The sequence below is a fragment of the Homo sapiens genome, chromosome 7 (assembly GCF_000001405.40).
Source record: "Homo sapiens chromosome 7, GRCh38.p14 Primary Assembly".
Taxonomy (NCBI): Eukaryota; Metazoa; Chordata; class Mammalia; order Primates; family Hominidae; genus Homo; species Homo sapiens.
In genome coordinates, this window is record NC_000007.14 from 142,165,849 (window position 1) to 142,188,661 (window position 22,813).

The 22,813-nt window shown below is 39.9% G+C and overlaps 1 protein-coding gene across 6 annotated transcripts in view; it reads left to right on the top strand.

Annotated features, from left to right (window-relative positions):
* Positions 1 to 22,813, top strand: part of MGAM2 (maltase-glucoamylase 2 (putative)) — a 110,607-nt gene that overhangs the window by 54,131 nt on the left and 33,663 nt on the right. For 4 of the 6 annotated variants that reach the window (XR_927547.3, NM_001293626.2, XM_011516692.3 and 1 more), the window contains 12 exons: positions 250 to 405; positions 1,420 to 1,638; positions 4,227 to 4,381; positions 5,424 to 5,592; positions 6,250 to 6,346; positions 6,804 to 6,916; positions 7,381 to 7,506; positions 9,804 to 9,932; positions 17,418 to 17,525; positions 19,229 to 19,291; positions 20,141 to 20,275; positions 21,902 to 21,986. Coding sequence is in view for 5 of the 6 variants with exons in the window: in NM_001293626.2 (NP_001280555.1) it covers positions 250 to 405; positions 1,420 to 1,638; positions 4,227 to 4,381; positions 5,424 to 5,592; positions 6,250 to 6,346; positions 6,804 to 6,916; positions 7,381 to 7,506; positions 9,804 to 9,932; positions 17,418 to 17,525; positions 19,229 to 19,291; positions 20,141 to 20,275; positions 21,902 to 21,986 (1,555 nt within the window). In the remaining variant the exon portion in view is untranslated. Of the gene's footprint in view, positions 1 to 249; positions 406 to 1,419; positions 1,639 to 4,226; positions 4,382 to 5,423; positions 5,593 to 6,249; positions 6,347 to 6,803; positions 6,917 to 7,380; positions 7,534 to 9,803; positions 9,933 to 17,417; positions 17,526 to 19,228; positions 19,292 to 20,140; positions 20,276 to 21,901; positions 21,987 to 22,813 lie in introns of those variants that run through there. The other 2 variants (XM_024446997.2, XM_011516694.3) reach the window with 2 other exon arrangements.

The following is a 22,813-nucleotide window of genomic DNA, read 5'->3' on the forward strand; positions in this document are numbered from 1 at the left end:
AACCATGACAGTCCTGCCTGTGATCTGCACTCATTAGCATGATGAAAACTCTTCCCATCCAACACTTCCACAATGACTCCATGAAGTGAGAAAACCCAGGAATCAGCCAAGTTCTGAATATCTCATGGCAAAATGGTTTTGGAGGAAGGAATAGATGCCCTTGTCCTGACTTCCAGACTTCCAGCCAAGAACTCTTTCTGGGTGGCTTTCCCTCCCTTCCTTTGTCACTGTGACTGTCTCTTTCCCCAGGTGGTAACCATCACTGATCTCCAAGGACTGGTACTGGGACAAGAATTCTCTATTAGGTGGAATCTTCCTGTCAGTGACCTGGAGAAGTTCAACTGCTACCCTGATGATCCAACAGCCTCTGAGGAGAGTTGTAGGCAGCGGGGGTGTCTTTGGGAGGTAAATGACCAGAAACAGATTACCTCATTGATTAGGAAGTAATTAGGCACCTAGAAAACACTTTTCAAATGTCTGTGGCTTGAAGAAAACCAGGACCCTGTGCAACACGCCTTTTGCCAACTCTACATGATAGGTCATCAGTATTTTCCTCAGACATCCCAAATCAGAAGAAACTTATTGCCATTCTCATTGCCACTCCAACCATATCATTAAAAACCCAATTTTAAACATAATAATGTACATTGGGTATGCATTATGCATTGTCTATTTTAACCAATCTTGTTTTGTCTGTTGGAGAACACAAGCAGGAAGGGTAAGGTCAGGCTGTTCCTGTCTATTTGAACAACAGAGAAAATGGAAACTAGGAAGCCAAGTGATTTCCTCTAGATTACATGGGAGGCAATAAGAACACTGGGAGTAGAACCCTGCCTGGAGGCTCCTGTCTCCCTATCAAACTTCCTGGTGCTCTGTCACGGTTCACTCATTATAGAAGGTCAGTGTGTGTGTTTAAAAAAATGGATGTGTTCATTTGCTAGGGTTACCATAACAGAGTACCACAAACTGAGTGGCATAGAATGACAGGAATTTATTCCTTCAAAATTCTGGAGTCTAGAAGTGGGATCATGGTGTCAGTGGAGCTGGTTCCTTCTGAGGACCTTGAGGGTATTTCTTTGCTTGTAGATGCATCATCCCACTCTCTGTCTTCATAGTCACATGTGTACATGTCTATCTCTGTGTCCAAATTTTCCTTATTAATAAGGATACCAGTAATACCGGATCAAGGCCTATCCCAATGACCTCATCTTAATTTGTTCATTGCAGAAACCCTACTTCCAAATAGTCACATTTACAGGTATCAGGGGTTAGGACTTAACATCTTTTTTAGGGGACACAATTCAACCCATAACCATGGACATGGTATTAGAGACTTAGTCTGTGTTAACCAACTTCTTCAGTAATGAGAGCCTTAGTGTTGTATCAGAGGCTGAGCAAGACTTTCTCCTGTTATTCCAGGACACATCTACTCCTGGAGTGCCCACCTGTTACTATGACACCATCCCTAATTATGTTGCTAGTGATATTCAGTACCTGAACACCAGCATCACTGCAGACCTTTCCCTCCCGATGGCCCCTGAGTCAGCTGCTGCTGCCGCCTCTGATTCTCTCTCTGCAAAGATCAGCTTCCTCCACCTGAAAGTGATCTATCACACAGCAACCATGCTGCAGGTCAAGGTAAGGCCCATGTTGCAGATTCTGGTTCTCAAGATGGAGTTTTTAATTTACAGTGCTGTATGGATAGAAGTCATTGAAACAATTAAAACATTTTTTTTCTTTTCAAGACAGGATCTCCCACTGACACCCAGGCTGGAATGCAGGGGCACAATCTCAGGTCACTGTAACTTCCACCTCCCTGGCTCAAGCCATCTTCCCACCTCAGCCTCCCAAGTAGCCAGGACTATAGGTGTGCTCCGACACACCTGGCTAATTTTTGTATTTTTTGTAGAGACGGGGTTTTGCCTTGTTTCCCAGGCGGTCTCAAATGTCTAACCTCAAGCAATCCACCTCCCTCTGCCTCCCAAAGTGCTGGGGTTACAGGCATGAGCCACTGTGCCTCGCTGAAACAGCTTTTCATCCAAATCCCTCATGTTATGGATGAGGGAGCTAAGGCCTGTAGAGAGGTAAAGGTCGGAAAGTAGACGGTAAAGCCAGGATGTGGCCTTAGATCTATGAGGACCATGAATTCCCTATAATGATGAGTATTCTAGGTCATAAACATCATCAAAGAATCATCATTTAGCCCTGAGAAAAATGGATCTGCTTTGTGGCAAACTCACATGAGAGGCATTAACTTAATTCTAATATTAGAATTATTTTCTCTAGCAGTAGTTCTCAAACTGCAGCATGCATCAGAATCACCTTCAGATCATTTTAAAACCCAGATTTCTTGCCCTCACCCCTAGGGTTTCCAATTCAGTAGACCTGGGCTGGGGCCTAGCCTGAGGATTTGCATTTCTTTCTTTTTTTTTTTTTTTGAGACAGAGTTTTGCTCTTGTTGCCCAGGCTGGAGTGTAGTGGTGCGATCTTGGCTCACTGGAACCTCTGCCTCCCGAGTTCAAGCGATTCTCCTGCATCAGCCTCCCAAGTAACTGGGATTACAGGCACCCGCCTCCACGCCCAGCTAATTTTTTGTATTTTAGTAGAGATAGGATTTCACCATGTTGGCCAGGCTGGTCTCGAACTCCTGACCTCAGGTAATCCACCCACCTTGGCCTCCCAAAATGCTGGGATTACAGGCGTGAGCCACCACGCCCGGCCTCGAGAATCTGCATTTCTAACAAGCTCCCAGGTAAGGCTGATGCTGCAGGTCAAGAGACCAAACTTTGAGATCTACCGCTATGCACATTTAAAAAATACGTCTACTGGAAACATAATGTGAGCCACACATATCTTCCAGTAGATGCATTTTTAAATGTATATTTTAAAAGGGAAATTAATTTTAATAATATTTTAACCAATGCGCTAAAATATTATCATTTCACCTTGAAATCAAAATTTAATGGAGTTACTTTGCCATCTTCTAATTATTCTAAGTCTTCAAAATCTGGTGTATATTTTGCATTTCTAGTGAATCTCAATTCAGACTAGCCCATGTCAGGCACTCAAAGGCCATGTGTGGCTTGTGGACAGCACCTTGGACAGCTCAGCTGTAGCCATTGCTTTCCACATTTTAATGTATCATGAATCACTGGGGCAGCTTGTGAAAATATAAGTTCTAATTCAGAAAATCTGGGTTGGGGCCTGAGGTTCTGCGTTCCTAACAAGCTCCCAGGCAATGCTGCTGCTTTGGGTCTAAGAAACATAATTTCCAAGCAGGACTTTAGAAAACCTTCACCTGGCAAGGTGTGGTGGCTCACACCTGTAATCCCAACACTATGGGAGGCCGAGGCAGGTGAGGTCAGGAGATCAAAACCATCCTGGCCAACATGGTAAAACCCCGTCCCTACTAAAATACAAAAAATTAGCCAGGCCTGGTGGTGCGCACCTGTAGTTCTAGCTACTCAGGAGGCTGAAGCATGGGAATCACTTGAACCTGGGTGGTGGAGATCGCAGTAAGCCGAGATCGCACCACTGCACTCCGAGCTGGCGACAGAGTGAGAATCCATCTAAAAATAAAAATAAAAAAAAAGAAAGAAGAAAACCTTCACCTAAGCACAAATTTGGGACTAATAATATGACAAAGAGGATAGTCACTCATAATGTTGTAACTCCTTGTCCTTCCATAACATTTTTCACTCCTTTTATTCTTCCCACACTTCAGTCCTGTTACATAAGTAGGAACAAGGGGTGGATACAGAAGAGAAACTTTAGGAATGGGAAAGCTGTACAACATCTGGAAGCTCAAACAGTGAGGAGATCTCAGAGTCCATATGAAAACTCAATTCCCTAATTCCTAACATGCATGCACACACACACACACAAATTTACACATTTCTATGCACATACATGTCTGCATGCCACACACTTACAAACATATACACACACATTCTATTTATGAAATTCTATCCCCTTCTATCACAGATTCTTTAGAAGAAGAGCCCTCCTTGGCTTTGAATGGGTTTTACTGAGGCAATTTTTGAACTTCAGCATCTGTATGGGGCACAGTGGGCAGGCAGGCCTCACATCCATTCGCTTGGGGATGTTTGATGCCTACTGATATGGTGCAAACTGGTCAAAAACATGGAAACTGAATTATATGGGGTGGCATGAGGGGTTTTAGGTCTGAGACCCTAACAGAAAGTTTTCTTCTCTCTTCTTGCCAGATCTATGACCCCACTAATAAAAGGTATGAGGTTCCAGTACCACTGAACACCCCTCCCCAACCAGTTGGTGACCCTGAAAACCGTCTGTATGATGTCAGGATTCAGAACAATCCTTTTGGAATCCAGATTCAACGCAAAAACTCCAGCACTGTGATGTAAGCACTATTTATTTGATTCTAATTAGAGTAGTTCTAGATTTAATTACAGCAGTTACAATTAATTCAAGTGAAATATTAATCTCAGAGACTCTATGGAAATAGGTGTGCATTTGTTAGAGTATATCTATTTTTCCCATGCTTTAATGGATAATTTGTTTTTGGTTAGTCATTAACAAAAATAATCAATCAAAGTTTAAAGAAATGAAGTATTGTTTGATTTCAGAGAAAGAAAAATACATGTTCTACTTACTGTTCTTAAGTAGAACAGAAAACTCTAATAAGTACAGCAGATAACCTAAGATACAAATGAGTTCCATATTATGTCTCATTAAGAAATAATAAGAGGCAGGAGAGAGGGGCAAAGGTTAAAAAGGAGAAAGAAATAGCTTCTTGTAACGTTTGCTTCTGTGGACACAGAAGCCTTCAAGCCTTTTCACAATGTTAAGCATAAAAGGAATTGTCATCTCCCATCTCTTGTCCTGCTGCTGAATAGAATGAAGTGAAAGTCTGGATTTTGCCTGGGGTGAGGTTCCCTATCCCAGTAGAAGCTGTCACCTGTGTGTGCACCTTTGCCTTCCTGTGTATGTCTTCTCTCTTGGGCTGTGTGAGTGATTTCCTCTCTGTTGCCCTCTTTGGTAAGAAGTCCTTTGGCCAACTCAAGAGAAGTTGTTCTAAGAGTTTCATGCTTTTCTATTGGAAAGTTTGCTTAAACTCTATTTGTTTATTTATATATTTACTCAAGCTGATATTCCAGGCACTGAGAACTTGAAATAAATAGAAGAATGAGTTATGGCCCTTGCCCACAAGGACCCAGAAAAGGAGCTCTCAGTCTGACAAACCACAGAACAGAAATCTAACATGGAACTTTGGTCCTGAGTCAGGGCCATTGTTATGACCTGGGTCATGTCACAGTATTTGAACCTGGATCTAAATGTGCAATAATTAAGGAGGCTTTGGAATCAACTAGACATTCCAAACACGTTCCAAGTAGCTCTGGCCAGTGGTCTCCAGCTCAGCGTGATCTGCTTTTGTGTTGCAGTTGGGATTCTCAACTCCCTGGCTTCATCTTCAATGACATGTTTCTCTCCATTTCTACGCGTCTGCCGTCCCAGTACATCTATGGCTTTGGGGAAACTGAGCACACGACTTTCAGAAGAAACATGAACTGGAACACATGGGGAATGTTTGCTCATGATGAGCCACCTGCGGTAGGGACAAAGGAATAAGTTTAGCAATCAGTTTCTCTTTATGTAAATCTCTTTTAATCCTTATGCTTATATATGATACCTTGCTCATCAACCTCATCTTATATTGATAAATTCCGCTCTCAGTTGTAATAGAGCACGTGTCACATTCTTTTGTCCCTAAAAGGCATATATATATATATATATATATATATATATATATATATATATATATATATCCACAACTGACAGAGGGAAATATGTATATATTTCCCTCTGTCAGTTATGGATTTTATTTATCTCACAAACTTTTAGTTAATATATTCTACTTGTCAGGCACATTGCTAAGTGCTTATCTGTACATTTAATAAGACACTGTCTTTGCTCTCCAGAGACTTATAGGCTAGTGAGAGAAATAGACGCAGAAATTGTGATAGCACAGTGGAATCACTGAATTATGTAATAATACATAATTGAATTATATAATAATAAATGAGGAAGGCATGAAGTGGGGAAGACACAGCTTTTAACTTGGAGTAGAAGGGAGAGTCAATGAAGGCCCAACAAAGGACATGACATTGAGCTGAATCTTTAATGATGAGTAAGAGTTTGCTGTTTGGGTTATGGTATGAAAACAATATCTTGCATTTTCTTTTTGTTTATTACCCTCGTGACTCCCAGTACAAGAAGAATTCCTATGGTGTCCACCCTTACTACATGGCACTGGAGGAGGATGGTAGTGCCCATGGAGTGCTCCTGCTAAATAGCAATGCCATGGGTAAGGCATAGGCACAGCTCCCATGCACCACCAGAAACAGCTGTGACCGCTCTATTTTGACCTGGTATCAATAGAAATAGAGACATTCAGGGGGCAAGGGAAATGGAACAAATAAACTGACTTTCCATTTATTCACCTATTTATTCAAGATTTATTAAGAACTCTGGATCAGGTGTTAGGCATGGAATTTTGATCAGTTATGGCTCCTACTCTGGCATAGCCTATTTTACTGTGACACTTTGGCTCCCATTCACAGAGTTATAAAAGTTGTTGAGATTGCATATTACATTTGGGGTACCTGCAAATACACCTCTGATTCTAATGGATGAGAGAAGACTTTCTAGAGAAGGCATGTATCAAAGACAGAGTATGAAGAAAGCAAATCTTAGAGCAGGTTTTCTATCTGGGCAATTTACAACTCCAAGGATGTGCCTCATGTGTGTTGTTTTTCTTACAGATGTGACATTACAGCCCACTCCTGCTCTGACATACCGCACCACAGGAGGGATTTTGGACTTCTACATTGTTTTGGGGCCAACCCCTGAACTTGTAACTCAGCAATACACAGAGGTTAGAAGCCATTCTGTCCATCAATATATTGTCAAATATTTATTGGCTATTACCACATTATTAGCACTGAGATAGGGCAGTTTTTTCTTTTGACTCTTGAGTGTCACTACTAGATTATTACTGCCTTTGCTGAAATCATATTTTAGTATTATGGTTCTATAAAGCCATATTAATATCCCATGTGTCCCTCACTTGCTAAACAGCCTAAGAATTGCTAATCAGTAATAACCGGCAAATTCTCAGGTTTCCTAGAATGAAAACTCTGGAATACAGAAAAACTTCAATTACGTTTCTATCATTTTGCATGTCTGTAGTTGCTCCACATTTGTTGGACTTTCTTATCTTTCTTGGGTGAGGCCTCTTATACAGTACTTAGCAGAAACACTCAAGTTGATTCAAGTATAAGTCAATCACCTTGTCTTCCCTAAGAAATCTTTCTGGATGCATTTTTCTTTTTATTCTAGTTGATTGGTCGGCCAGCAATGATTCCATACTGGGCCTTGGGATTCCATCTGAGTCGCTATGGATACCAGAATGATGCTGAAATCTCCAGTTTGTATGATGCAATGGTGGCAGCCCAGATTCCCTATGTATGAAACCCTCACTCAGCCCAAGGTGTAATTAGTTACAGGAATTTGTGGCTAATTTTATATTAGAAGTGCTATGATGTTCTTATCAAAGATAACTTGATACATTCAGGCTGAATTTTTTTTCTTTGTATATACTATAATACTATGTACTTATTAAACAGAAATTAGAAAATAGGAAAATTACAAGATGAAAAAATCCACAAATCTACCTTACCAAAGTAATCAACGTTAATAATTTGCTGGTTTATTCTTTTCCAAATTTTGGCTTATGCACAAGTCTCTGTTTTACCAAACAAGTTTCACCTAGGGTCATATGGCAATGCAGGGGACTATCCCTTTGGGCTAAAAAGAAGCAAGTTCTTTTTTTCAACTAAATATTAATCACTTTAGTTATTATTCAACAATCATGGTTTGAGTAAGTTTCATGTGCAGAAACCTGGGTTGGTACTGCATAGAGAGGGTAGACATTCAAGAAAGCTATAGAATAATGTAGTTCTTGTATGTTGGTGTAAGGAAGGGGTCCAGTTTCCATTCTACATATGGCTAGCCAGTTTTCCCTGCACCATTTATTGAATAAGGGAGTCCTTTCCCCATTGCTTGTTTTTGTCAGGTTTGTAGAAGATCAGATAGTTGTAGGTGTATGGTCTTGTTTCTGGGTTCTCTATTATTTGCCATTGATTTATGTGTCTGTTCTTGTACCAGTACCATGCTGTTTTGATTACTGTAGCCCTGTAGCATAGTTTAAAGGGGGATCACCTGATGCCTCCAGCTTTGTTCTTTTTGCTTAGGATTGCGTTGGCTATTCGGGCTCATTTTTGGTTACATATATGAATTTTAAAATAGTTTTCTCTAGTTTGTGAAGAATGTCAATGGTAGATTAATGGGAATAACATTGAATCTATAAATTGCTCTGGGCAGTATGGTCATTTTAATGATACTGATTCTTCCTATCTATGAGCATGTTTTTCCATTTGTTTGTATCATCTCTGATTTCTTTGAACAGTGGTTTGTAGTTCTCCTTGTAGAGATCTTTCACCTCCCTGGTTAGCTGTATTCCTAGGTATTTTATTTGTGGCAATTATGAATGGGAGTTCATTTGTGGTTTGGCTCTAGGCTTGACTGTTGGTGGTGCATAGAAATGCTAGAGATTTTTGTACATTGATTTTGTATCCTGAGACTTTGCTGAAGTTGCTTATCAGGTTAAGAAACTTTTGGGTTGAGATGATGGAGTTTTCTAGATATAGGATCTTGTCTATATGACAAGATCTAGTATCTAGATACAGGATTATGTCATCTGCGAATATGAATAGTTTGACTTCCTCTTTTCCTATCTAAATGCCCTTTATTTCTCTCTCTCTCTCTTTTTTTTTTTTTTTTTTGAGTTGGAGTCTCCCTCTGCTGCCCAGGCTGGAGTGCCATGGAGCAATCTCGGCTCACTGCAACCTCTGCCTCCTGGGTTCAAGTGATTCTCCTGCCTCAGCCTCCTCAGTAGCTAGGACTACAGGTGTGGGCCACCAAGCTTGGCTAATTTTTTAAATATTTTTAGTAGGGACGGGGTTTCACTGTATTGGCCAGGCTGGTCTTGAACTCCTGATCTCAGGTGATCCACCTGCCTCGGCCTCCCGAAGTGCTGAGATTACAGGCGTGAGCCACCGTGCCTAGCCCGTTTATTTATTTCTCTTGCCTGATTGCCCTGGCCAGAACTTCCAATACTACATTGAATAGGAGTGGTGAGAGAGGACATCCTTGTCTTGTGCTGGTTTTCAAGGGGAATGCTTTCAGCTTTTGCTCATTCAGTATGATATTGGCTGTGGGTTTGTCATCTATGGCTCTTATTATTGTGAGATATGTTCCTTTAGTACCTAGTTTATTGAGAGTTTTTAAAAATCAGCCAGATTTACTGTAGAAAAAAACCCCAGATATACAATCCTGTTTGTTTCCTAGGAAAGTCCCAGTTTCTACCCTTGAACATTTCAATTAGAACTTTGTTTGATAGACTGAGTTTGAGATTTGAAGAGTGGGAAAGACATGAATTGAGGAAAGGAAAGGGGATAGAGTTCCAATTGGGGAAACAGAAGGAGAAGGAGTGGGCACAGGTGAACTGCATGCAGGCATCAGAAAGCAATTTCAATCTGCAGAATTGAAAAGTCAGCAGAGGGAAGTAATGAGATGAGGAATGAAGAGGGGCCTGGAATGGGGCAGGCAGGCAGCAGGACCAGGGGCCTGGCAGAGCAGTTAATGTGCCCTGCAGGGCACCTACTGCAGGGTTCCAAGAGCCTTGCTGCTTCTTTCTGCAGGACGTCCAGCATGTAGACATCGATTACATGAACCGGAAGCTGGATTTCACCCTCAGTGCCAACTTTCAAAACCTCAGTCTTCTGATTGAGCAAATGAAGAAAAATGGCATGAGATTTATTCTCATTTTGGTATGTATTGAGACAGATCAGATCCTACTTTCTGTTTCCATATTCATGGTTCAAAAATAGCACCATTGTGGGAAACTGGATGAAGGGTACCAGAAATGTTCCTGTACTCTGTACTTTTTGTTTTGTTTTGCAACTTCTTGTGGTGAATCTATAATTATTATTTTTTAATTTAAAAGCAAATGAAAGAAAGAAATGAAAAGGGGCTTTTAAAAGATGATACTTTATAATATTTATTTTCCATAACTGTCACTGGAATATAATTATTATTCTCTTGGTAAAGTTAGAACAACTGTGGGCTGAAGCACTGAAGATAGCAAAAAAAAAAAAAGGGGGGGGCATCTCACTGTTTCAGGCTATGTCTCAGGAGAAATAGCTGTATCTTAATCTCATCTTTACGTCAGGAGGTTCAAAAATCTCTTATGTTGTATCATCACTCAGAAATGGTAAGGCTCAGATGACATTTCTTCCTAAACTTACAAACAATTGAGTTAAGATCCAGAATACCAATTTATTATATTACTAGGAAGCCACATCTTGACAAATGCAGAGGCAATTACCTGCAAATGATTCTCTCTTCTAGCTTCCAAAACTTACAGCATTATTTGGTGACTTTTGCTCACTTACTAATTCACGTATTTATTGAACACAGTATTTGAAAACCACTCTTCTACAAGTTGTGTGTGTGTGTGTGAGGGTGCATGCATAGTCTAAATTAGCAAGGCAGTGCTCTTTTTCTTATAAAGTTTTTATTCTAATGGAGGGAGACAGCCAATAAACATCTGAAAAGATAATTTCAGACAGTAGTGATTTATATGACAATTGTGAAACAGCATAATATTATAGAGAATAATTGGGGCAGGTATGGGATGGAGTGAACAGGGGAAGATATTTTAAATAGACAGATTGGGACACAGAGAGCAATAAAGAAGTTTCTTGTTTTTGAGGAACATTGCTATTATACTCTGGAAACATGATAAATTGGCTCTCTCTGCTTGAGGATTAAGTCTTATCAATCTGGTTTATCTCCAGGAGTTGTTTCCAAACACTAGCAAAAGTTTTTCTCAAGAATTTTATGGAGAAACACCAATGCATTCTTTTTCTTCTCAACTGTCTTTGTAAAAATAGATTTCTATGTCATTGGAAAAAATCACTTATGTCATATTTAAATTCCTACAGGATTTTTTAACATCTTATTTATTTGTTTATTTAAATATTTCAGGGTTAAACTTTTTTTAACTTCTATTTTAGATTCAGTGTGTACATATGTAGGTTTGTTACAAAAGTGTATTGTGTAATGCTGAGGTTTGGAGTATGTATTAGTCTGTTTTCACGCTGCCAATAAAGACATACTTGAGATTGGGCAATTTACAAAAGAAAGATGTTTAATGGACTCACAGTTCCATATGGCTGGAGAGGCCTCACAATCATGGCAGAAGGTGAAAGGCATGTCTCTCATGGTGGCAGACAAGAGAAGAGAGTTTGTTCAGGGAAACTCCCCTTTTTAAAACCATCAGATCTCATGAGACTTATTTGCTATCATGAGAAGAGCAGGGAAAGACCTGCCCCCGTGATTCAATTACCTCCTACCATGTCCCTCTTACAACACATGAGAATTCAGGATGAGATTTGGGTAGGGACAGACCCAAACCATATCAGAGTATGACAGAGTATGATGGAATCCATTACCCAGATAGTGAACATAGCACCAAACAGGTAGTTTTTCAACCCTTGCCCCACTCCCTCCCTCTCCTCTCTTGTAGTCTCTAGTTTCTGTTATTCCCACCTTTATATCTATGTGTACCCAGTACTTAGCTCCCACTTATAAGTGAGAACATGTGGTATTTGCATGTCTGTTCCTGCATTAATTCACTTAGAATAATGGCCTCCAGCTACATCCATGTTGCTGCAAAGAGCATAATTTCATTCTTTTTATGGCTGTGTATTATTCCATGATATATATGTACCATATTTTCTTTATCCAATCCACCATAGATGGGCTCCTGGGTTGACTTCACATCTCTGCTATTGCAGATAGTGCTGTGATAGACATAGAAGTACCTGTGTTTTTTGAGAGAATAATTTATTTTCCTTAGGGTATATACCCAGTAATGGGGTTGCTGGGTGGTATGGTAGATCAATTCTTAGTTATTTGAGAAATCTCCAAATTGCTTTCCACTGTGCCTGAACTAATTTACATTCCCACCAACAGTGTGTAAGTGTTCTCTTTTCTCCACAGCCCCACCAACATCTATTTTTTGACTTTCCAACAAAAGCCATTCTGACTCATGTGAGATGGTATCTCTTTGTGGTTTGATTTGCATTTCTCTATTAGTTATGCTCAGCATTTTTTCAAATGTTTGTTAGCCACTTGTATGTCTTCTTTTGAGCAGTGTCTGTTCATGTCCTCTGCCTACTTTTTAATGGGATGGTTTGTTTTTGGCTTGTTGATTTAAGTTCCTTATATATTCTGGATTTTAGGCCTTTGTCAGATTCACAACTTGCTAATATTTCCTCCCATTTGGTAGGTTGTCTCATTACTCTGTTGACAGTTTCTCTTGCTGTGCAGAAGCTGTTTATTTTAATTGGATCCATTGTCAATTTTTGGTTTCATTGCAATTGCTTTTGAGGACTTTGCCATGAATTATTTGCTAAGGCCAATGTCAAGAACATTTCCTAGATTTTCTTCTAGGATTTTAATAATTTGAAGTCTGACATTTAAGTCTTTAATCTATCTTGAGTTAATTTTTGTATATAGTGAAAGGTAGGAGTCCAGTACCATTCTCTTGCATATGGTGAGCCAGTTATCCCAGCACCATTTATTAATAAAGAATTCTTTCCTTCTTGCTCATTTTTGTCAGTTTTTCTGAAGATCAGATAATAATTGTAGGTGTGTGATAGTATACGTTGAGGTTGGGTAATGTGATATCTGTAGTTTTGTTCTTCTTGCTTAGAATTGCTTTGGCTATTCAGGCTGTTTTTTGGTTCCATGTGAATTTTAGAATAGTTTTTCTAATTATGTGAAAAATGACATTTGTAGTTTAATAGATATAGCATTGAATCTATGAATTGCTTTGGTTAGCGTGGCCATTGTAATGATGTTAATTCTTCCAGTCCATGAGCATGAAATGTTTTTTCATTTGTTTGTGTCATCTCTGATTTCCTTCAACAGTGTTTTGCACTTCTTGTAAAGTTCTTTCACCTGCTTGGTTAGATGTTTTCCTAGGTATTCTATCCTTTCTGTTGTTGTCGTAAATGGGATTGCATTCCTGATGAACTATAAAAACATTCTTGTTTTTATAGTTCTTCTAGGTGTGAAGTTGGATCGTTAATTTGAGATCTTACTAACTTGAGATTTCTAATTTGAGATTTCTCAGCTTGAACGTTATTGATGTATAGAAATGCTACTAATTTTTGTACATTAATTTTGTATCTTGAAACTTTACTGAAGTTGTTTATCGGTTCTAGGAGCCTGTTGGCAAAGTGTTTAGGGTTTTCTAGGTATGGAATCATGTCATCCTTGGAGAGAGAGAGTTTGACTTCTTCTTTTCCTGTGTGGATGCATTTAATTTTTTTCTCTTGCCTGATTGCTCTGGCTAGGACTTTCAGTACTATGTTAAATAGGAGTGATGAGAGGGGGCATCCTTGCCATGCTCCAGTTCTCAAGAAGAATGCTTCCAGCTTTTTCCCATTCAGTATGATGTTGGCTGTGGGTTTGTCAGAGATAGCTCTTATTATTTTGAGGTACTTCCCTTTGATGCCTAATTTCTTAAGGGTTTTATCATGAAGGATGTTGGATTTTATCAAAAGCTCTTTCTACATCTATTGAAATTATCATATGGCTTTTGTTTTTAATTCTGTTTATATGGCGAATCACATTTATTGATTTGCCTATGTTGAGCCAACCTTGCGTCTCAGGGTTATGGAGGAAAGCCTACTTGAACATGGTCAGTTAACTTTTTGATGTGCTCCTGGGTTTGGTTTGTTAGTCTTTTGTTGAGGATTTTTGCATCTATGTTCATCAGGGATATCAGCCTGAAGTTTTCTTTCTTTATTGTCTCTGCCAGATATTGATATCAGGATGATGTTGGCTTTGTATAATCAGTTAGGGAGGCATCCCTCCTCAAGTCTTTTGGAATAATTTCAGTAGGATTGGAACCAGCTCTTTGTACATCTAGTAGGATTTTATTATGAATCCATTTGGTTAAGGACTTTTTTTTGGTTGGTGGGCTTTTTATTGCTGATACAATTTTAGAATTTATTATTGATCTGTTTATGGTGTTATTTCCTTTCTGGTTCAGTCTTGGGAGGTTGTGTGTTTCTAGGAATTTATTCATTTCCTCTAGATTTTCTAGTTTGTGTGCATAGAAATGTTCATAAAAATCTCTAAGGATATTCTGTATATTTGTGTGATTGGGTGTAATGTCATCTTTGTCATTTATGATTATACTTATTTGTATCTTTCTTTTTTTCTCAATCTAGCAGATGGCCTATAATCTTGTTTATCCTTTCAAAAAAACAGCTTTTGCTTTTGTTGATCTGTTGTATGGATTTTTGAATCTCAATTTTGTTTAGCTCTGCTCTGATTATGATCATTTATTTTCTTCTGCGATCTTTGGGGTAAGTTTGTTCCTGTTTTTATAGTTCTTCTAGATGTGAAGTTGGATTGTTAATTTGAGATCTTTCTAACTTCTCGATGTAGGCACTTATGGCTATAAACTTTCCTAGTGTGTCTTAGGGATGATTATCTTGCATAATATTTCATAGGGATTCTCTGAATTTCTTAAATTCACATGTTGAACTCTCTAGCAAGAATGGGGAAATTTTCATGGACAATATCTTCAAATATGCTTTCCAAATAATTTTTTGTTTCCCCTTCTCTCTCAGGAATGCCAATGAGTCATAGATTTGGCCTCTTTACATAATTCTATATTTCTCAGAGGTTTTGTTCATTTTTAAAAATTATTTTTAAAAAATTTTTTTCTGACTGGGTTGTTTAGAAGGGACTTGTCTTTGAGTTCTGAGATTCTTTCCTCAGCTTGGTCTATTCTGTTGTTAATACTTGCAATTGTGTTATAATTTTTTGTTTTAATCCCAGAAGTTGAGTTTAGGAAGTTCAGTTTAGCCATTCAGTTAAAATGGCTGTGTTATCTTTCACCTCTTGGATCATTTTACTGGCTTCTTTGAATTGAGTTTCAACATTCTCCTGAATCTTGTTGAGTGTCCTTGTCATACAGGTTTTGAATTCTGTATCTGTCACTTAGGCCACTTCAGTCTGGTTAGAAACCATTGCTGGGGAGCTAGTAAAATTGTTTGGCAGTCAGAAGATACTCTGACTTTTTGAATTGCTAGGGTTCTTGTGCTGATTCTTTCTCATCTGAGAGGGCAGATGTTCCTTTATCTTTTTGAAGTCGCTGTCTTTTGGATATGGCTTTTTGTTTTTATAGTCTTTATTTTCCTTGAGGGTTTGACTGTGGTGTATGTTGAGTATAGTTGATTGGCTTCATTTCTGGGTGCTTTCAGAGGCCCAAGGCTCTTTAAGAGATATTTATCTGTGGCTGAATTCCTGCATTGGGTTTCACAGGCACCCTTTTTGTTTGGTGGTGTAATTTAGGCTGCGATACAGTAGATGGTGTTTAAGAGTAAGGGCCAGAAGATAGCCTCTTATTCAGCTGCAGGCCTCTTTCATATTTCAGCACAGTTGCAGTAGTGCTATGGGGTGGGGGAGATGGGGGATCCAGAGATGGCCCCCTTCCCAAGTCCATTTTTGGTGCTTGAGGGAGCCTCCTCTAATCACTGATATCATGCCTATGTTTCCTTAGCCCCAAGGGCGTCCCTGACAGGCTGTGCTCTTCCCTCTTAGGGACAGCCTGAGCCAAAGGTCAAGTCACCATGAGACCTGCAGCTCCCTGTTGGTCCTCTGTACTTGGCAGAGTCAGAGTGGGTTGTGGGGTATGTCTGGGGGTGATCTGTTGACGCAGTGGGTCAAGGGCAGAAGATCCCCAGGCACTGCAGTGTTGCCGTAGGGGTGCAGCTGATATGGTGCCATGATCCAGTATTTTCTGCACAGCAAATGGCTTTGGGGCCCTCTCAGCTTGCTCTCCCCCAACTGAGTCTCCTTCCAATGTCTGCTCTAGTAGCTGCCCTGACAAGCTAGTTTTGTCCCAAACCTTTTGCACCCAGATTGTTGGTCTGTTGGATGTTCTGAGCTATGGAGCTCCCTTGGGCAGAGTCTGTGGCTGGTAAACAGGCTACATCCTTCCCAGACCAGTCTGGCAGAGGGAGGCATGCCCAACTCCCACACCAGCACACAAGCCCATACCTCACTCTTCTCAGTGTTCTGAGAGTGGGGCTCCTCCCCTACTCAAGCCTCAGCCGCAGATCTCAGCTAGATAATCCTGATTTGTGTGCTTAAACCCTGGTGGGTTGGTACTGGGCCTGCAGCTTTGTTTTCTGGCCTTAGGGTCCAGCACTGGCTCTGCTGGGGGTCAGAGTACTTCCAGGCCACCAGCAAAGCACTCAGGTGGGGCAGTGGAGGCTGTGCTGTGTGCATTCTCTTTTGGGAGCAGCCAAGCAGTGGCCTTGGAAGGGGCTGGCAGACGGGTGGCATGCAGATCAGATGCACCCTTGTTCTGTAGGAAAGACAACGCTGCTGTCTCCCAGCTCAGCTGTCAGCAGGGGCTAGAGCCACTCAGAGCAAGATGGAGAGCCTTTGCAGATGGGTCCTCATGGTCGTGTTTTGCTGCAGATGCCCTGTATGCAGAACCTTCTCGTCTCCGCACAGGCTTGAGCTCTGCCTCTGCCTACTCTCCAGGCAGTTTCTCTTGCCAATTCAAATGTCTATGGTGTTTGTGGGGTCTGTTGTAGCTAGGATCCCAGATGTCTGCAGTGCAAGTTTCCCTTCACTCACTCCTTCCTTGGGACCTGTTCAGTGCCAGGAGCTGGTCCCGGCACTCAGCAACTCTATGTGGGATTTCCAGCTTTCTCCCTCTTACACCTCAGTGTTTGCATTGCCTCTCTATAGACTGGCAGTGTTATCTTTCAAAAGCTCTGTTTGAAGTGTAATGGTTTACTCAGTATTTTGGTTTTTCTCCATGGGAGAGGTGCTTCCCAGCCGCATCTAGCTGGCCATATTGTCCCCTTTCCTCTCATTTTATTACTTACAGGTTGGGGTGGTAACTTTTTGTAGTATAGAAAGGCTCCTTCATTTGTTGGCACAGATTCTTATACCCTTTGAAAGAGATTACCCCTCATAAGGGTTTTATATCTTACTTTGAGTACTCATGGCACCATCCCTTTTCAATTGGCTATGGTAATATATGCAGTAAGACATAAGGCAAATTATCAATGATTTTTATTTTATTTCATTTTATTTTTGGTATTGAGATTCACCATTTCCTTCTGCACTATGAACTACTAAATTTTTGGAGAGAAATTTTCTTAGAGATGTTTTCCTCACATTTGCTGTTTGAAATTCTTTTACTGCAGGACCCAGCCATTTCTGGCAATGAGACACAGTATCTCCCATTCATTAGAGGACAGGAAAATAACGTGTTCATCAAATGGCCTGACACCAATGACATTGTCTGGGGAAAGGTAAGGCTTGGGGAAGATGCTTACAGTTAATTAACATTACAATGTCTTGAAATAAAACAGCTCTCAATACACATTGGAAAATATATTGGACAATCAATAAATTATGAATGAGTAGAAATCTGTCCGATGCTGATTAGCTCAATAAGCATTAATAAGACCAAGGTTACAAATCTCATCCTCTATTATTATTGAGCACTGTCTATTGCCTGGAAATACTCTGATGTCCCCACTCTTTATTTATTCCACATGGTCATTAACAAACATTAAGAATCCCTTTGAGAATGACACTGAAATCTGTGTCTCCCAGACACCTGCATGCAAAACATGCGTTCACCTTTGACCTATCATGCTTAATCTGCCTTCATATCTAAATGAATCATTAAGTCCTATAGATTCTCCTCTTTCTCTTGTTTCCTTTAATTCGTCTTTATGGCTTCAATCTTCATCTTTATATGTCTGATTTTTGGCAATAGCATTTTAGGTGGACTTCAGGTGATAATAGCTTTTAGCCTAGGTTCGAATTCTTCCTTAATTATACTATGCTACTTCCTACTGCTCTGGATGTATTCCAGGCTCCTTTTTTTTTTTTTTTTTTTTTTTTTTTTTTTTTTTTTTTTGAGATGGAGTGTCACTCTGTTACCCAGGCTGGAGTGCAGTGGTATGATCTTGGCTGTCTGCAACCTCCTCTTCCCAGGTTCAAGCGATTCTCCTGCCTCAGCCTCCTGAGTAGCTGGGATTACATGTGTGTGCCAACACTCCTGATTAATTTTTGTATTTTTAGTAGAGATGGGGTTTCACCATGTTGGCCAGGCTGGTCTCGAACTCATGACTTCTGGTGATCCACCTGCCTCGGCCTCCCAAAGCGCTGGGATTACAGGCGTAAGCCACTGTGCCTGGCCCTGTGCTCACTTTGAATATTACCTTCTCAACTTACCCAGATAATATCTTCACTTCAAGATCAACTCAAATCTTACCTCGTTTGAAGCAGTTAGTAACTATTTTAGTTTTTCCTATTTTCCCTTGTCTGTAATATTGCCTTCAGTATAGCATACAGTGTAGCATTTATGTACTATCTGTGAACTCTTAGGAAACAAGTACTATTTCTTACTTAAATCTCAGTAAATACAGATCCTGGAAGAGTGCTTGTCATATAGGAAGTACTTAGTAAGTGTCTGTTGATTGAATCAATTAATCAGTGTGTATATACTTAATGTCCTGGTAGTTACAGCTAAAATTAGTTGGTACTATGGATTTTTTAATGCTACATATACTTGGAGTCCGCTATAAGTCACGATAGTGCTTAAAAGTATTGAGGTGAGGTGTATGGGTTATGAATGGAAATCAATCTTATTTCTTTAGAGTCACACTTCATACTTATTATGAATTTTGTTATAGGTCTGTGACAAGGAGATCAGAGATCTGAGAAATCACTCGAAAGTTGGTTGTTCAGAGGATATGTTTAAAAGAAATTCAGTTAATTATTAAATTCAAAAATAGAATTTTGAAAACATAGAATGAATCAAGAGACCCAGCCTACTTTCACCTAATGTAATTTTGTAGATTCAGCCTTTACAGTTTAATTTATGGCAAAGATTCCCAAGCGTTTCATGGAGATGCCTGTCATCAGAGTCTAACACATGAAATATCTCATAGTCTGTATGCAAGGATCTGTAAAGGTTTTAATTGCCCTTCTTTTTCTCTAGGTTTGGCCAGATCTGCCTAATGTAATTGTAGATGGATCCCTTGACCATGAAACTCAGGTTAAGGTACAGTTGTATATAGATTTTTGTCAACATTGCCCTAAACATCTGGATATTTACATTTTTTATCCTGATGAATAAGTAGCTAACCCTTCAGTTAAGTAGCCCTAACTTGAGGGTGCTTATCCACTGTTAGTTTCTTGGCAGAAAGAGATCCTCGAGTGGAAAGCTCAACAAACAGCGAACATGGAAATGTGTAGAAGGAAATCATCAATGAAATCCTCTCATAAGTGTGATTTTAATGGGCTGTGATTTGTTTGAACTTTATGACGCTTGAAAAATAATGAACCAAAGTCTAGCATTTTCTCACTAGAGGGGAATCCATTATGAACAGACTGGATTTTAATAAATTATCTGCATACAAAAGAAAATACAAGTCAGCTGAATGAAGGAAAGTTGTTAATCTCAGCCTGGTCATCTAGCATCCCCTCTACTCTGGAGTTCACTTGCCCCTGGATGACAGTCCTCCTTCATCTCATTTGAATAGTCTGGAAAAAGCTTTTGCTAATATCACACTGATATTTAAGTAAAAAAAAAAAAGAAAAAGTATTTGCATCTCTAAAGTTCAATTGTTCAGACACTGTTAATTTTCCAGTCTTGTGATTACATGTCCAGTTATTAAACAAATCCTGTATTTGAAAGGGATTATAAAGCTATCTAACCTTCTTCTAAGAAAATAAAGAATGAAGTCAGCCTTCCCCAATCTCTGCTTCTGTTGTAAACTCTGCAACAGCAGCAGATCTGAGATTAGAGCAGAGACTGATCTGGGCAGGCACAAATTCCTGTTCATCTCCCATTTGTGGTCTCCTGTATAGGCTGAGACCCCGACAATGAGAGTGTGTGTTATTCTTACAGCTTTACAGGGCCTACGTTGCCTTTCCTGACTTCTTTCGTAATAGCACAGCTGCGTGGTGGAAGAAAGAGATAGAAGAGCTCTATGCAAACCCTCGAGAGCCAGAGAAGAGCTTGAAGTTTGATGGATTGTGGATTGTAAGTGCACCCTTGGTTGTCTTTTTTTTTTTTTTGGAAATGTTAGCAAGTCAAAACATGGGGAGGAGAGACTAGCAAAGCAGAGACATAGGGCTGAAGAGATGAAAGGGAGAATCTAGGTGCTGTTACAGAATCTAGGTGCTAGGACCAAGAGAAGCAGAGATCATTGCTGATCTGCCCAGGGACATATTGTCTGGTGGATGTTGGAGCCCACAGAGGAGACTGCTACTGCTGGAGATGCCAGAGCAAAAGAGAAAGGGAGAAATCACCTCCCATCTCCAATCTCTTGCCAATATCACCCACTGGCCAAATCTACCTGAAAGCTTATTGTAAGGGAGTCTTACAGGGCAGAGCTGGGAGTGGGTGAGGCATGGAGTTGAGAGCAAGTAGACGTTTGCCATAGTACTGGGGCAGACAACTCTGAGGGAATGGCTTAAAGGGCCTGTTCAGATGTTTGCTGTAAATGCCAGTTGGCCTTAAAAGCAGGACTTCCTGAGATGTCCCTGGGATATATGTCCAAGGGCAGCTCTATCTATGTTTTCCTCTGTCCTGATTTCCTTCCCCACTGTCCAGTGGCCTGAAATCTTAAGCAAGCTCTAGGCCAGCTCTGAAGAGCTATTCAGCTCTGGGTCAGACTGGAAGAAGTCTGTGATTCACTCCAGAGACAAAAGTCCACTGAAAACACAGGGGCCTCCCTGACCACCCGCACCTTTGAGATAGTTAGGCACAGAATAGACATGTGAAAGGACACAAATTAACTCAAACAGGCAAATCAGACAGTGGAGAGTTGTGGGCAGCTTTGAGAATAAGAGATGCTGATAGCTCTGGGGTAGTATTTTTTTTTTTTTTCCAATGGAGGGAAAGCTGTAGCTGGGTAATTCAAAGTAATGAATAGTTCCTCAAGTACTTTCATTTGCCTTTAGTATGTCCTATTTAAAATAGTCTGGCTTTCGAAAATTTAACTTTTCCATTGTCAGAGTGCACAGTGAACATTCCCTTAGGAGCCCCTACTCCTTGCATTTAAGTAACAAATTCCCCAAAGTATGTTTTTATTTCCAAACTTGTTTCTGAGTTACATATAACTTTTTAGAAATATATTTATAGCAGAAAGTGAGATAACTCTCCTTGTGTTTGGCCTATGCCAATATCAGAATTAGTCCAAGCAACTGGACTAAGAAAAAATAGAGGAAGATAATAGTAACCTCTGGCCATAGACTAAAAAGTGAATAATCCATGCGTAGTAAAACAAGATGGGCTACCTCTGTTGGGGAGTTGTATCAAGGGGAGTTGTATCAAGAGATTTCCTTAGGTCCTGTGTCCAGCATTACCTCACTATTTTTGCCACTGTAAAACAATCCTTGTAAGTTTTAAAATGCCAGGTAAGCAAGGAGTTTAGCACTCCACTTTGGCCGATATAAATTTTTAGAGTCCATTTGGGTCAATGCCAGGGATTACACTACACATTTTTAGAGTCCATTTGGGTCAGTGCCAGGAATTAAACACAGTGAACTAAACCACCAGCTGAGCTGAGGGCTTCAAAAGTCATCTCCCTGAGTTAGTGTCCTCTATAGCCAAGGCCATCCTGCCCCTGACATGACGAGATCTTTTTTTGTTAACTCATTTCAGGATATGAATGAGCCATCAAATTTTGTGGATGGATCTGTCAGGGGCTGCAGCAATGAAATGCTAAATAACCCACCCTATATGCCATGTATGTAAAATAATTACTTCATCAACTTACTTTCCTACTCAAAGACTCCAAAAGTTTTCCTTTTACTGTCAAAGTGAAGCCTAATGTTGAAGACAGAAACCATTCTCCAACATGACATGAAATCCCAAGTAAGATAACCTTGAATAAGTGCAGCTAAACTAATCAAGCAAGAAATAATGACATGATGTGGTGTGAAAGAAACCAAACGATGCATGGTACATTTGATTCCATTGATAACTATGAACAGATTGCTAAAATTTTAAATAAACCCTTAAACACACACACACACACACACACACACACACACACACACACACGTGGAGAGATGTTCTTTTGATTAAAGAATTAAAACCTAGTTTCTGAAGTCTCTCTGCCCATGTAAACAGACATTTGATGAAGGATACTTTTTGGTCATTCTGTGGTACAAACAAAAATAGAATGTTGGTATCAAAAGGATCTCAGAAAGTTGAATCTTCTCGTGTTGCAGAGAAACAAGGAAGGAAATGACTCACTTCTAAAAGTACTGTACCACGGCTGAGGTGGGAGGATTGTTTAAGACCAGGAGTTTGAGTCTTGAGACCAGCCTGGGCAACATAGTGAGACCCATAAAAAAAAACAAACAAACACCAAAAACCAGAAAAACAACAACAACAAAAGGCATTATACCAGTAATCTATGGGACAGAATCTAGAATTCAAGTTTCTTGATGTCTACATCACTGTTATGCTGCCCATTTCTCACTCACTCACTCATTCATTCATTTTCTCCTTCATTAATTTAATGCAGGGGGTGTTTGACTTGCAATGGTCTGACTTATGATTTTCAAC